This window comes from Homo sapiens, chromosome 2, assembly GCF_000001405.40.
Source record: "Homo sapiens chromosome 2, GRCh38.p14 Primary Assembly".
NCBI classification, from domain to species: domain Eukaryota; kingdom Metazoa; phylum Chordata; class Mammalia; order Primates; family Hominidae; genus Homo; species Homo sapiens.
In genome coordinates, this window is record NC_000002.12 from 53712148 (window position 1) to 53727118 (window position 14971).

Below are 14971 nucleotides of genomic sequence, written 5' to 3' on the forward strand. Positions count from 1 at the left end.
TGCAGTTATCCCAGACACAGCAGAAAAAAATAGGAACCTTCCCTTCCATGAGTCTCTATAAAAAAATACAAAAAAAAAAAAATACATTAAAAACGCTTCTTTGCCAAAGACAGCAGAAGATAGTGAAGTAAATGCCACTAAATACTGTTTTTCCCATTAGGTTTTAAATTCCTAAAGGATCGTGTGTATGTTTCAGCTTCCTCAGTAAGTTTAACAGGATCTATTTAGTGCTCTCTACATAACAAAATGGTCAATTAGTGTTACTGACTGATTTTGTAGAAATCAAAGGAGAAAAAAGGGTCTGCCCCCTAAAATTTCAACTAATCTTGGAAAATCCAGAAACCTATTTAAGATCTTTCCCACCTAATTTCATTTATCCGAATCTACAGAAGGCATGAAACATACTGCCCAGCTCCCAAGGAATATCATTAATTTTAAGGTGTTTCAGAGTTAACAGGGGTACTACATTATATGGCTTAATTCAAACTACACTTATAAGGTGATGAGGCGTGAGCTTAGCTGCTGTGACCAGAAGGACCAAAAACATTGTTCATCCAAAAGATAAGATGAAGGCCAAAAAAGACCATCATCATATTGAACACACACACACACACACACACAGGCGCGCGCGCGCGCGCAATCCAAAATCATTATATTCTGGTCTAATAAGAAATGTTCAGTTCTGTAACGGACTTAAGATTTGGGATAGAGAAAGGCAACTAAAAGTTATCAGTGCAACCTCACTGAAGGTCAACTAAAGTAATTAGGGCTCTTCTGTTTAAAAAGACAAAACTTAACGGGGTACACAAGAAAATCCTATGAAATCATGAAAGTTATACATAAAGTGGGCCCCAGATACTCAGATTAACCAAAACCCAAATATTCAAACTAAAATGTATAAGTTTAAGAGGCCGGATGGGGTGGCTCACACCTATAATCCCATCACTTTTGGAGGCTGGAGGCAGACAGATCACTTGAGGCCAGGAGTTCGAGACCAGGCTGGTGAAACCCTATCTCTACTAAAACGTGTAAGCTTAAACTTGAAACAAATTATAGTGAACTACTAATTTTACATGGCAAATGTTAAGAGATAGTAAAGGCTGAAAAGCTTAGTAAATAATTTCTTGATAACTACTCAAATTAAATAGAGATTCATAATAGTGAATTCAAGAAGGCCAATACAATTTGAGGTATGCCTGCAACCTCTTCTGTGTCATTAAACACAATAGCATCTATCTTCATAACTTATTCCATTATTGGATGACCAGATATTACTCAATATGGCTGTTCTTACACACAGCTTTATTCTTAGTGTTTTAAAACTGTAAGAGTGTTATAGACAAAGTTACTGGCCAGACACTAACAAGGCAGCAGTAATTCTTCACTTAGTCTATTTCACAGAATTATGACAGATTAGAAAAATAATTAATTTGGGGGCGTTTAAAAACTTAATTATTTAGACTCACATCCAAAAATAATATAAAGCCAGGCATCGTGGCTCATGCCTGACATCCCAGCATTTTGGGAGGCCGAGGCAAGGGAACTGCTTGAGCCCAGGAGTTCAAGACCAGCCTGGGCAACATGGAGAAACCCCATCTCTACTAAAAATAAAAACATTAGCTGGGAGTGGTGGTGTACACCTGTAGACCCAGCTACTCTGGAGGCTGAGGTGGGAGGATCACCTGAGCCTGGGATGCAGAAGTTGCAATGAGTCAAGATGGTGCCACTGCACTCCAGCCCGGGCCACAGAGTGAGACCCTGTCTCAAAAAAAAAAAATTTTTTTTAATGCTATCCACCAAATACATTAAAAACACAATAATATCTATAAAACTAAAGTTTAATTTTTAGGCTTATATCTTATAAATTTGAAACGGTAAATGACCTGAAGCAGTCACTGCCTTACTTGATAAAGCCCCATTTTTAATTCTTGAATTGTTTTGAAGACCAAAAATATCAGCAAATTTCTGCGTCTACTTAAATTGTACGTATTCCCTAAGATTGCTACACTAAAAATATAATCCAGATCCAAAGAAGGAAGGAAAACAATGTGATATTATCACCTCATTTCTGCTTCAGCTTGACTGAAACATCATAGTTTTTTTCCTATTTGTGTTCCAAGATAGCAATTTAGCACTAACAGAGATACTAAGTTTCATCGTGAAAGAAAGTCACTTCAAAACACATCTCCATACAGCAAAAAAGAATAAAAAATAAAAACATAGCAAATATACATACTCCTTTTGGAAAGCCATGCACACAGGAGAACTGAATCCAAAAACAAGGCACGCCTGGGCGTCTGGGCTGTAGCCATTCCGGAGTAATATTTCTAGGCAATCTTCATGTCCCCCAAACACTGCTGAGTAAACAGGGCTTACTTTGTTTAGCCCAGTGTCACAGGCCCGGTTAGTAAGTGGTATTAACAAGTCCAAGATTCTATAAATACACAAATTCAGGAGAATTTAGTGTTTGTATATGTGCATAAATGTAGGCAACATTTCTATAGCACAATTTTTTTCAGAATTACCAACTGATTCATTTAAAGAAATATTTCTGTCTAGGGTGTACCTTCTACCAACAACATTAAACTATTACATGCTATATATTTACTCCAGAATGTTACACTTATTATTGCTTAATAAAAAGGTCTTTAAATACATTTGAAACAAAATTAATGTTCCTATATGTAAACAGAAAAGGTGCTCTTTTAATTTTATTACCTTACTAGCACCACCTTAACCCCCAAAATTCAAATTTTATGTTAGATATTTTAGGGTTTAATAAATTATTTAAAACATCATTCTACTAAGTATAAACTGGCATCAAGAAAATGCACTATTTTCCTTCTTAAAGTACCAACTAGTTTTTCTTTTCCAATTAGTAAAAATTTTTAAAGATGATAACTGGCATGAAATTAAGACTAATGTTTTCATCAGGAAGAAATTATAATTTGTGCTAAAATATTCTATTATCTGAAAAAAAAGTGAGCTCATTAAATATGGAGGCAGATTTATAAAGAAGCTGGCTCCTAGGTAGAGAAAGTTCTAAGAAAATAATTAAAACAAAAGTTCTTAGGTTATTTGTAAACTTACCTCTAGCAGTCAACTGGAAAGAAAAAAGGACTATTCTACCCTTCTAAAATTAAAAATAAAACTGTATAGTTAAAGCCAGGAAATTCCTTCTTTCTGGGAAAAGACAGACAGGGCTACTCTGAAGTATTTTCATAGTATTACATTTCTCTTTGTGACTTTTCCTCATGTAATGTATGTCTAAGATAACATTTAAGTAGAACTTACACTCACAAAAGGGGTTACCTTTGAAGTAGGCTATAAAGAAAATCATCAGTGACAATGAGAATTCTCAAAATTGAGAACAAATGCCCAGGAGAGTTTTGGTACCATTTAAAGTTCAGAGTACAATATCTAACACTTATGTTTAAATAAATGATCAAGAATTGGGGAAAATATCAAATTTTTAAATCTAAGTATTTTGTTAAAATAGTCTAATGTCTCTTAACTTTAATAAATGTGTTTAATTTTTTTAAGTAGGTGGGAAAAATTATACTCTCCCACAAGACATAAACATGCTTACAAATATCATTAATGAAATAGTAAAGTACTGTGTCACCTAGTGGCATAATGACCAAATTGCAGAATCTGTTTTCCTACTATGTAAACAAACTAAATTAAGTAATGAATATTTTACTATTACTTTTTAAATTAAATAATACTAATAGCAGCTATAAAAAGTGCTATTATAGAATTATGGCTCTAAAGATTCTAAACATGTATTTCTAAAAATTATTGACTGCCAATTTATGATAGGTAGCCATATTCTCACATATATTTCTAAAAATCATTGACTGCCAATTTATGATAGGTAGCCATATTCTCACAGGTATAACCAAGTTACTAGCTTCTAAGATTCCTGGAACCCCCATTTACTCTCTCTCCAATTTGAGGTTAGATCAAGAAAAGTTCAGTCAAAGGGTTTAAGACAGGGAGGACTACTTAGCACACACTCCAACAGGCATCACAAACTCAAAAGCTTTCTGGGGTCAGAGAGGTAACATGGATGGCCTCATCAGATTGATGCTTAAAGATGCCTGGGATAAAACTAGGGAGGAGGAGGCGGCGGATACAGCCATAACTAGAGAAATCAATGGGAAGAGTCAACACCCCGAGAAAGTCCCTGAGCCTACCCAGTCTGTAGCAATTCTGCCTCACAATATGAAAGTGCAGGAATAGTAGGAGCAAAAGACAGCATGAAGGACAGATTAGGGGTAGATCTGTTCACCCAGCAGATTGGTAGGGAAGAGAATATCAAAGACTTTGCCTAGAGGTGAAGGGTCTAGCCCAGATTTATTCTTTATTAGCTTTTGATTAAGAGACCATGTTTATTTTCTGTTTTTAACACTTACTTTGTATGGCCCATTTGTGCAGCTGCATGAATAGGTAACTGCCAACTGTCCTCATTACAGTAAAGATCAGGATCTGCCCCACTGGAGAGCAAAAGCTCCACACATTTTGTGTGTCCCTCTTGAGCAGCAATGAACAAGGGTGTAGCTTTGTCCAAGGCTTGACAATTGACATTTGCACCTAAGGGTACAAAATAAAACATTTAACAGATAACCCTAATACTTAAAAAAATCAACACAAATTTCAAAGGAACTACCATAAAAGGGTTTCGTAGCACGGTAAGCTTTTCCCTCTTCACTGAATGTTGGATGTTGTTATATAAACATATTTACTTTGCTAACTTCTTGGTAATCATTTAAATTGTCTTCGCTAAACTGACAGGGTAGCTCATGCCTGGAATCCCAGCAATTTAGGAAGCTGTGGCCAGAGGATTGCTTGAGGCCACGTGTTTGAGACCAGCCTGGGCAACATAGTGAGACCCTGTCTCTATCAAAAATAAAAAGGTCTTGCCTCTACGTCAGCAAGAAAACAAGTGATTCATATCTTAGAATTCATTTTTAAGCTAAAACAAAAATCCTATTCAATGAAGGATACATTTCATTCCAATCCCTCCTCCAACAAGCATTCTGGGGCCCAATAAGTAAACATTTAAAAAGAAAAATGCAAACTATCAAACATGGATAATATTTCTGATAACTGCTGAAAAAGATAAAATCCAAATTATGCCACTAATTGATTCAGGCTAAGATTTATGAAAAATTATCAGTAGATATGACATATATGGGAGCCACGCCTTAAAACTAATATTGACTATACTCTCTATTACATCTCTTTCTTCATAACCACTGCATGATAAATAATGCCTACAATCAGAGAAAAAGGGTCTCTTTCAACAGGTTTCTGAGTTGATATTTAAAATCATAAATGTGAAAGGGAAAAACAATAATATTATAGTGAAAGAAAGAAAAAGAAAAAAATCCCACCTGCATGAAAATAATTACAAAAATTAGAAGTGTGAACATCTCCAGATGAAAAGGAACTACCCCAAGAATTTTGGATTTGTGAAAAATCTAAATATAGTGACACCACTGAAGGATCACAGTCGTGTTCCCGCAATGGTTCCTGACCCAAATGGAAACTCAGAAATGACAGATAAAGAATTCAAAGCAAGGATTGCAAGGAAGCTCAACAAGATCCAGACAAGGTTGAAAATAAACACAAAGAAACTTCTAAAGCAATTCAGGAAATGAAGGCATCTTAAGATAAACATCTTAAAAAGGAATCAATCAGAGCTTCTGGAATTGAAAAACTCACTTAAGGAATTTCAAAATATAACTGCAAGTTTTATTAATAGACTAGGCCAAGCAGAAGGAAGAATTTTGGAGCTTGAAGATCAGTCTTTCAAACTAACCCAGTCAGATAAAAATAAAAATAAAAAATTTTTAATGAAAAAGGCTTTGAGAAATATTTGATAATGTAAAGCAACCAAATCTATGAATTATTGGTATTCCTGAGAGAGAAGGAGAAAAAGTAAATGACCTGGAAAACATATTTGAGGACATAATTTAAGAAAATTTCCCTAATCTTGCCAGAGAGGAAGACATCCAGATAGAAGCAATACAGAGAACTCTCTGTGAACGTGAATATCACCATGGCATACAGTCACCAGACTGTTGAAGGTTAACACTAAAGAAAAAATCTTACAGGCAGCTAGAGAAAAACGTCAGATCACATACAAAAGGAACAGTGGACTTCTCAGCAGAAACCTTACAAGGCAAGAGAGATTGGGGGTCTATTTTCAGCATTCTTAAAGAGAGGACACTACAACCAAGAATTTCATATTCCACCAAACTAAGCTTCACAAACGAAGGAGAAATAAAATATTTTACAGACAAGCAAGCGATAAGACAATTTGTTACCACTAGACCAGTCTTAGCAGAGATCCTTAAGGGACTTTTAAACATGGAAATGAAAGAACAACACTGATACCACAAAAACACACTGAAGTACATAGCCCAAAGACCCCATAATACAATCATACAATAGAAACTGCAAAGCAACCATCTACCAACTTAATAATAGGATCAAAACCTCACATATCAATATTAACCTTGAATGTAAAGGGTCTCTTCAGATCATACAAATCTTTCGCCTTTTACGAAACATCCTGCCTAAAAGGCACACAGCTGCAATTTGGATTAAAAAAAAAAAAAGAAAGAAAAAAGACCCATCCATCTGCTGCCTTCAAGAGACACGTCTCACATGTAACAACACCCATAGGCTCAAAGTAAAGGGTTGAAAAAAGATTTATCAACCAAATGGAAAACAAAAAAGGTCAGGGGTCACTAGTTTTTTATTTTATTTTATTTTATTTTTGAGACTGAGTCTCGCCGTGTCGCCAGGCTGGAGTGCAATGGTGCGATCTCGGCTTACTGCAACCTCTGCCTCCTGGGTTCAAGCAATTCTCCTGCCTCAGCCTCCCGAGTAGCTGGGACTACAGGCATGCACTACCACGCCCAGCTGATTTTTGTATTTTTAGCAGATAGAGACGGGGTTTCACCATGTTGGCCAGGATGGTCTTGATCTCTTGACCTCGTGATCCACCCACCTCGGCCTCCCAAAGTGCTGGGATTACAGGCGTGAGCCACCACGCCCAACCAGGGGTCAATATTCTTATATCAGATAAAACAGACTTTAAATCAGACAACAGAGCCAGGCACAGTGGCTCACGCCTATAAGCCCAGAGCTTTGAGAGGCCGAAGTATGACAGAGCAGGAGTATCACCATCTTGCACAAGCACTGTTATTTTCCAATTCACCTTAATCAAAAACTTCCTAAATCCAAAGCGCATCAGCCTAAATGGCTAAGATCAGCATGATCATAAACAAAAAAAGCATCTCCGACCAGGAACATGCCAAACTCCTCTGCGACCAGAGACATGCTAGCTGCCCTGCTCTGGCTGGGAAGATGCCAGCCCCGAGATAACTCCCTTCCTTCTAGAAAGACGTCAGCCCCAAGATAATCCCCCCTTCACCCAGAGACATTCCAACCTCACCATAAACTTCTCCCCCACACATAAACACTCCAAGCTTGTGATAAGCCCCCTCACCCTAAAACCAATATATACTCATGTACTTAGCCTGTAAGAGAAAGTGCTCCTGATCGAAATCAGCCAGAAACCCTTCTCAGGTTTTATCTAAAGTAAACCTGTCTTTAACTGCCAACCCATCTTTTGTGTTTCTTTCCTCTTTCTTTAACTCTTACAAGGGGGGAGGATCGCTTGAGCTCAGGAGTTCAAGACCAGCCAGGGCAATGTGAAAGGAAAATAAATCTTGGGACCCCCACAATCACTAAGCCAAAGGGAAAAGTCAAGCTGGGAACTGCTTAGCGCAACCCTGCCTCCTATTCTATTCCTAAAAAATAGCTACTAAGATTAGAAAAAGTTACGTACCTCCCTCACAAGGAATTTCCCTGTGGACGAAGGACAGACAGAACTCAAACTCAAAGTCATCCCTCTGCTCACTGGGATAAGTGCATATCTGAGTGCCTCCTTTGGAAAGGCTAATCAGAAACTCAAAAAAAAAAAAAAAGGCAACCATTTGTCTCCTACCTACCTATGACCTGGACATACTCTCCCCACTTTGAGTTGTCCCGCTTTTCCAGACAGAACCAATGTATATCTTATATATGTTGATTGATGTCTCATGTATAAAACGTATAAAACCAAGTTGTGCCCCAACCACTTTGGGCATATGTTGCCAGGACCTCCTGAGGCTGTGTCACAGGCACATGCCCTTAATGTTGGCAAAATAAACTTCCTAAATTGACTGAGATCTCTCTCAGATATTTGGGGTTCACAGCAACACAGTGAGACCCCATTTCTATTCAAGAAAAAATTATATATAAAAAAACCAACAACAGTACAAAAGGACAAAGAAGGTAATTACATAATGATAAAGGGTTCAATTCAATGAGAAGACTTAACTATCCTAAATATACACACACCCAACATTGAAGCATCCAGTTTCATAAAACAAGCTCTTAGAGATCTATAGAGATAGCAATAATGTTGGGAGATGTCAAATCCCATTGACAGCATTAGACAGATCACTGAGGCAGAAAATTAAAAAACAAATTCTGGGTGTAAATTCAACATTTGACCAATTGGACCTAATACACATCTAAAGAACACTCCACTCATCAACCACAGAATATATATTCTTCTCAACAGCACATATAACATACTCCAAGACAGACCACATGCTCGGCCAAAAAGCACATCTCAATAAATTTAAAAAACTGATTCACTTGTGAGGCCGAGATGGGCAGATCACTTGAAGGTCAGGAGTTTGAGACCAAATTGGCCAACACGATGAAACCCCATCTCTACTAAAAATACAAAAAAATTAGCTGGCCACAGGGGTGCGCGCCTGTAATCCCAGGTACTCAGGAGGCTGAGGCAGGAGAATTGCTTGAACCAGGAGGGGGAGGTTGCAGTGAGCCAAGATCATGCCACTGCACTCCAGTCTGGGTACAGAGCAAGACCCTGTCTCCAGAAATATAAATAAATAAATAAATAAATAAATAAATAAATAAATAAACTGAATTAATACCAACCATACTCTCAGACCACAGTAGAATAAAAATAGAAATCAATACCAAGAAGATCTTCCAAAACCACACAATTACATAGAAATTAACTTGCTCTTGGCTGGGCACAGTGGTTCACGCCTGTAATCCTAGCATTTTGGGAGGCCAAGGCAGGCAGATTGCCTGAGCTCAAGAGTTCGAGACCAGCCTGGAAATGTGGTGAAACCCCATCTCTACTAAACTACAAAAAAAAAAAAAAAAAAAAAAATTAGCCAGACATAGTGGTGTGTGCCTATAGTCCCAGCTACTCAGGAGACTGAGGCAGGAGAATTGCTTGAACCTGGGAGGCGGAGGTTGCGGTGAGCCTAGATGGTGCCACTGCACTCCAGCCTGGCGATAGAGTGAGACTCTGTCTCAAAATCAAACAAACAAACAAACAAACTTGCTCTTGGATAACTTTTAAGTAAACAATAAAATTATGGCAGAAATCAAAAAATTCTTTGAAATAAATAAAAACAGACACAGAACATATTAAAATGCAGCAAAAAGTGTTAAGAAGTTTATAATGCTAAACATCTAGCTCAGAAAGAAAGATCTCAAATTAATGATCCAATATCACACTTCGAGGAATAAGAAAAAACAGAACAAACTAACCCCAAAGCTATTAGAAGAAAAAAAATAATTAAAATCAGAGTGGAACTGAATGAAATTGAGACCCAAAAATCCATACAAAGGATCAATGAAACCAAAAGTTGGTTCTTTGAAAGGATAAACAAAATTGACAGACTGCTAGCTAGATAAAAAAAAGAGCGAAGGTCCAAATAAGCACAATCTGAAACAACAAAGTTGACATTACAATAGATTCTACAAAAATACACAAGATCCTCTGAGACTATTACGAACACCTCAATGCACGCAAATGAGAAAATCTAGAGGAAATGGATAAATCACACAATCTCTCAAGACTGAATCAGAAAGAAATTGAAATAGACCAATATCAAGTTCCAAAACTGAATCCATAATAAAAAAAAAAAAAACCTACCAACCAAAAGTCCTGGACCACATGAATTCACAGCCGAATTCTACCAGACATACAAAGAAAAACCAGTACCAATTCTACTGAAACCATTCCCAAAAATCAAGGAGGAGAGACTCCTCCCTAACTTGTTCTACAAAGCCAGCATCACCCTAATACAAAAATCTGGCAAAGACACAATGAAGAAAGAAAAGTACAGGCCAATAGTGCTGACGAACATAGATACAAAAATTCTCAACAAAATATTAGCAAATTAAATCCAGCAACACATCAAAAAGTTAATGCATCATGATCAAGTAGGCTTCATTGTTGAGAAACAAGGTTGGTTCCATATATGCAAATGAATAATTGGGATTCACCACGTAAAGAAAATTAAAAACCAAAACTATATGATCATCTCAACAGATGTGAGAAAAGCCTTCATAAAACCCAACATCCCTTCATGATAAAAACAAAACAAACAAAACAAAACCCTCAACAAACTAGGCATTGAAGGAATGTATCTTAATAAGAATCATCTATGACCAACCCACAGCCAACATCATACTGAACAGGCAAAAGCTGGAAGCATTCTCCTAGAGAAATGGAAGAAGACAAGGATACCCACTCTTACCACTCCTATTCAACATAGTACTGAAAGTCCTTGCCAGAACAATCAGGCAAGAGAAAGAAATAAAAGGCATCCAAATAGGAAAAGAAGAAGTCAAACAATCTCTCTTCTCTGACAATATGATTCTATACCAAGAAAACCCTGCAGACTCCACAAAAAGGCTCCTGAAGCTGATAAACAACTTCAGTAAAATTTCAGGTTACAAAATCAATGTATAAAATCAGCAGCATTTCTATACATCAACAATGTTCAAGCTGACAGCCAAATCAAGAACACAACTCCATTTATAACAGCCACCAAAAAAAAATTTTAAACCTGGGAATACATCTTACCAAGGAGGTGAAAGATCTCTACAAGGAGAACTACAAAATACTACTGAAAAAAAATCATAGATGACACAAACAAACGGAAAACGCTGCTCACGGATTGCAAAAATCAATATCATTTTAAAAAATACCCATACTGCCCAAAGCAATCTATAGATTCAACACTATTCCTTTTTTTATTTTTTCCCCTGTTAAATGTCAGAGTTTTTTGTTTTTGATTTTCATAAGTTATTGGGGAACAGGTAGTGTTTGGTTACATGAGAAAGTTCTTTAGTGGTGATTTGTGAGATTCTGGTGCACTCATCACCCAAGCAGTATACACTGCACCCAATTTGTGATCTTTTATCCCTCACCCCCTTCCCATCCTTTCCCTGAGTCCCTGAAGTGTCATTTTTATGCTTCAATGCTATTCCTATCAAACTACCGACACCATTTTTTACAGAATTAGAAAAAAAATTTCTTAAATTCATATGGAACCAAAAAAGGGCACAAATAGCCAAAGCAATACCAAGCAAAAAGAATAAAGCTGGAGGTATCACATTACCCAATTTCAAACTCTACTTTAAGGCTACAGTAACCAAAACAGCATGGTCCTGGTACAAAAACAGACACAAAGACCAATGGAATAGAATAGAGAATCCAGAAATACAGCCATGCACCTACAGCCATCTGATCTTTGACAAAGTTGACAAAAATAAGCAATGAGTTAGAGACTCCTTATTCAATAAACGGTGCTAGTATAGCTGGCTAGCTACATGTAGAAGAATGAAACTGGAACCCTATCTTTCACTATATACAAAAATCAACTCAAGATGGATTAAAAGTTTAAATGTAAGACCTCAAACTATAAAAATCCTAGTTAGAAAAAAAAATGAGAAAACACTGTTCTGGACATCGGCCCTGAGAAAGAATTTATGACTAAGTTCTCAAAAGCAATTGCAACAAAAACAAAAATTGGTAAGTGGGACCTAATTAATCTCTTTAGATTAATTAAGCTCTTTAGCTTCTGTAAAACAGAAGAATCCACAGACAACCCACAGAATAGGAGAAAATATTTGCTAACTAGGTATCTTTATAGATTCTGGATATTACACAAAGGTCTTTATCTTAACTTTGTCCAATATCTAGAATCTATAAGGAACTTAAACAATTCAACAAGCAAAAAACAACCCCATTAAGAACTGGGCAAAAGGACTGGGCACATTGGCTCACGCCTGTAATCTCAGCACTTTGGAGGCCAAGGCGGGTGGATCACGAGGTGAGGAGATCAAGACCATCCTGGCTAACACGGTGAAAACCCCATCTCTACTAAAAATACAAAAAATTAGCCAGGCATGGTGGCACGTGCCTGTAGTCCCAGCTACTTGGGAGGCTGAGGCAGGAGAATCACTTGAACCCAGGAGGCAGAGGTTGCAGTGAGCAGAGATAGTGCCACTGTACGCCATCCTGGGCAACATAGCAAGACTCCATTTCAAAAAAAAAAAAAAATTGGGCAAAAGACATGAAAAGATACTTCTCAAAAGAAGACATAGAAGCAGCCAACAAACACATGAAGAATTGCTCAACATCACCAATCACCACAGAAATGCAAATCAAAACCACAATGAGATATAATCTTATACCACTCAGAAAGGCTATTACTAAAAAGTCAAAAAACAACAGATGCTAGAGAGGTTGCAGACAAAGGGGAACGCTTATACATTCTTGGTGGGAATGTAAATTAGTTCAGCCACAGTGGAAAGCAGTTTGGAAATTTCTCAAAGAACTTAAAACTACCATTCAACCCAGCAATTCCATCACTGGGTATATATCCAAAAGAAAATAAATCATTCAACAAAAATATACATGCACTTGCATGTTCATCACGGCACCATTCACAATAGCAAAGACATGGAATCAACCTAGGTGCCCATCAATGGATACCTGGTGGATCAGATAAAGAAAACACAGTAGATGTACACCATGGAATACTACGCAGCCATAGAAAAGAATAAAATCATGTCCTTTCAGCAACATGGATGCAGCTGGAGGCCATTATTCTAAGTGAATTAACAAATTAACAAAAACCAAATACTGCATGTTCTTACTTATAAGTGGAGGCTAAACACTGGGTACTCAAGGACATAAAGATAGCAACAACAGATACTGGGGACTAATAGAGAGGGGAGGCAGGGAACAGGGCAAGGGCTGAAAAGCGAACTGTTGAGTACTATGCCCACTGTCTAAGTGATGAGGTCATTCATATCCCAAACCTCAGCATCATGCAATACACCTATGTAACAAACCTGCATGCATACCCTCTGAATCTGAAATAAAAGTTGAAATTATAAAAAATAAAATAAAATCACAAATCTAATTAAATTATATATACGCCATTGTATAAAGATTTTTAAAAGCTAACCTCACTTTTTGTGAAGATTTTGAAAATAGCAGTCATCTCCAAACTTTTCTTGTTGGCAAATAATGTATTAAATATGCTACATATGATGTTGTTACATGACCATGAGAGTTTTTTAAATTTCTAGAATACATTTCGGTGGAAAGATCATCATCAAGACGGAAAAGGCTGTCTTCTATTTAAAAGAATATTCCATAAATGCACCTTGAATAAACCAAAGTTTTATGTACGCAAAAACTACACAGAACACAAATGGTAAATTAAAGAGTCTATAGATCCTTCAGAAATTTCTCATGATAGAAACTAGAAACTTCATGATTTCTATAGGGTAGATGTTTCACCCACTGTCAGTTTCAGAAAGAAGTAAACACTATAACTGAAAAGAGACTAAGTCAAGAAAGAAACCTTAACTTTTTTTTTAATGCGTTATTTTGAGTGACAATTTCAAAGTATCACAAAGAATAAGGAACCAATTTCTTTAAAGACTACTGGTGAAAAAGTTGGAAAAATTACAGACAACTCACTGAAACGAAAGTAATAGGGGTTGGAAACATGTATAGTTACATGATAAACATACCTACATACCTTTTCAACTGATTATTCAAAACAATTCAGAGAGAAGAAATAAAAAGAACAAAGCAAACCAAAACAGGAGCTCAGAGCTCCAGGCGACAAGAAAACACACCTGACATGAGGAGAGACATTAAGGTGCAGTTTAATCTATTTAATCTAAATTTTTTTTTTTTTTTTTTTGGGAGACGGAGTCCCACTCTGTCACCCAGGCTGGAGTGCAGAGGCGCGATCTAGGCTCACTGCAACCTCTACCTCCTGGGTTTAAGCAATTCTCCTGCCTCAGCCTCCTGAGTAGCTGGGACTACAGGCGCACACCACTATGCCTGGCTAATTTTTTGTATTTTAATAGAGACGGGGTTTCACCATGTTGTCCAGGCTGGTTGCAAACTCCTGAGCTCAGGCAATCTGCCCACCTTGGCCTCCCAAAGTGTTGGGATTACAGGCATGAGGCACTGCACCTGGCCTATTTAATCTAAATATTAATTAAACATATATATATATACACACACACATATATATACACACATATATATATACACATATATATACACACATATATATACACACACATATATATATACACATATATATATATAGTTTTGTTTTGTTTTGTTTTTGAGACAGAGTCTCACTCTTGTTGCCCAGACTGGAGTGCGGTGGTGCGATCTTAGCTCACTACAACCTCTGCCTCATGGGTTCAAGAGATTCTCCTGCCTCAGCCTCCCCAGTAGCTCGGACAGGTGCGTGCCACCACACCGGGCTAATTTTTGTATTTTCAGTAGAGACAGGGTTTCACCATGTTGGCTGGGCTGGTCTCAAGCTCCTGACCTCAGGCCTCCCAAAGCGCTGGGATTAGACATGAGCCACTGACCCAGGCTAAACACTAATAATTGAAACTTATGGGACTGCAAGTCATTAACTGAATTAGGATAGTCCTCCGGAAGGTATGATGTAGTAGAAGGAAGATCAGAAGTCAGAAGGCCTGGGTCCAAGCCCTGATTCTGCCAGGAAACGAGTCTAGA

General features: G+C 37.3%; 2 protein-coding genes across 4 annotated transcripts in view; both read right to left on the reverse strand.

The window, feature by feature from the left end:
* The window catches only part of ASB3 (ankyrin repeat and SOCS box containing 3), a 116974-nt gene that overhangs the window by 42168 nt on the left and 59835 nt on the right, over window positions 1-14971 (reverse strand). For all 3 annotated transcript variants that reach the window (NM_145863.3, NM_016115.5, NM_001201965.2), the window contains 2 exons: window positions 4419-4596; window positions 2237-2434 (listed from right to left, as the gene is read on the reverse strand). In NM_145863.3, coding sequence (NP_665862.1) covers window positions 2237-2434; window positions 4419-4596 — 376 coding nt within the window. The remainder of the gene's footprint in view (window positions 1-2236; window positions 2435-4418; window positions 4597-14971) is intronic.
* The window catches only part of GPR75-ASB3 (GPR75-ASB3 readthrough), a 189675-nt gene that overhangs the window by 41855 nt on the left and 132849 nt on the right, over window positions 1-14971 (reverse strand). The window contains exons 6-7 of the mRNA NM_001164165.2: window positions 4419-4596; window positions 2237-2434 (exon numbers count right to left, since the gene is read on the reverse strand). Of these exons, the coding sequence (NP_001157637.1) occupies window positions 2237-2434; window positions 4419-4596 (376 nt within the window). The remainder of the gene's footprint in view (window positions 1-2236; window positions 2435-4418; window positions 4597-14971) is intronic.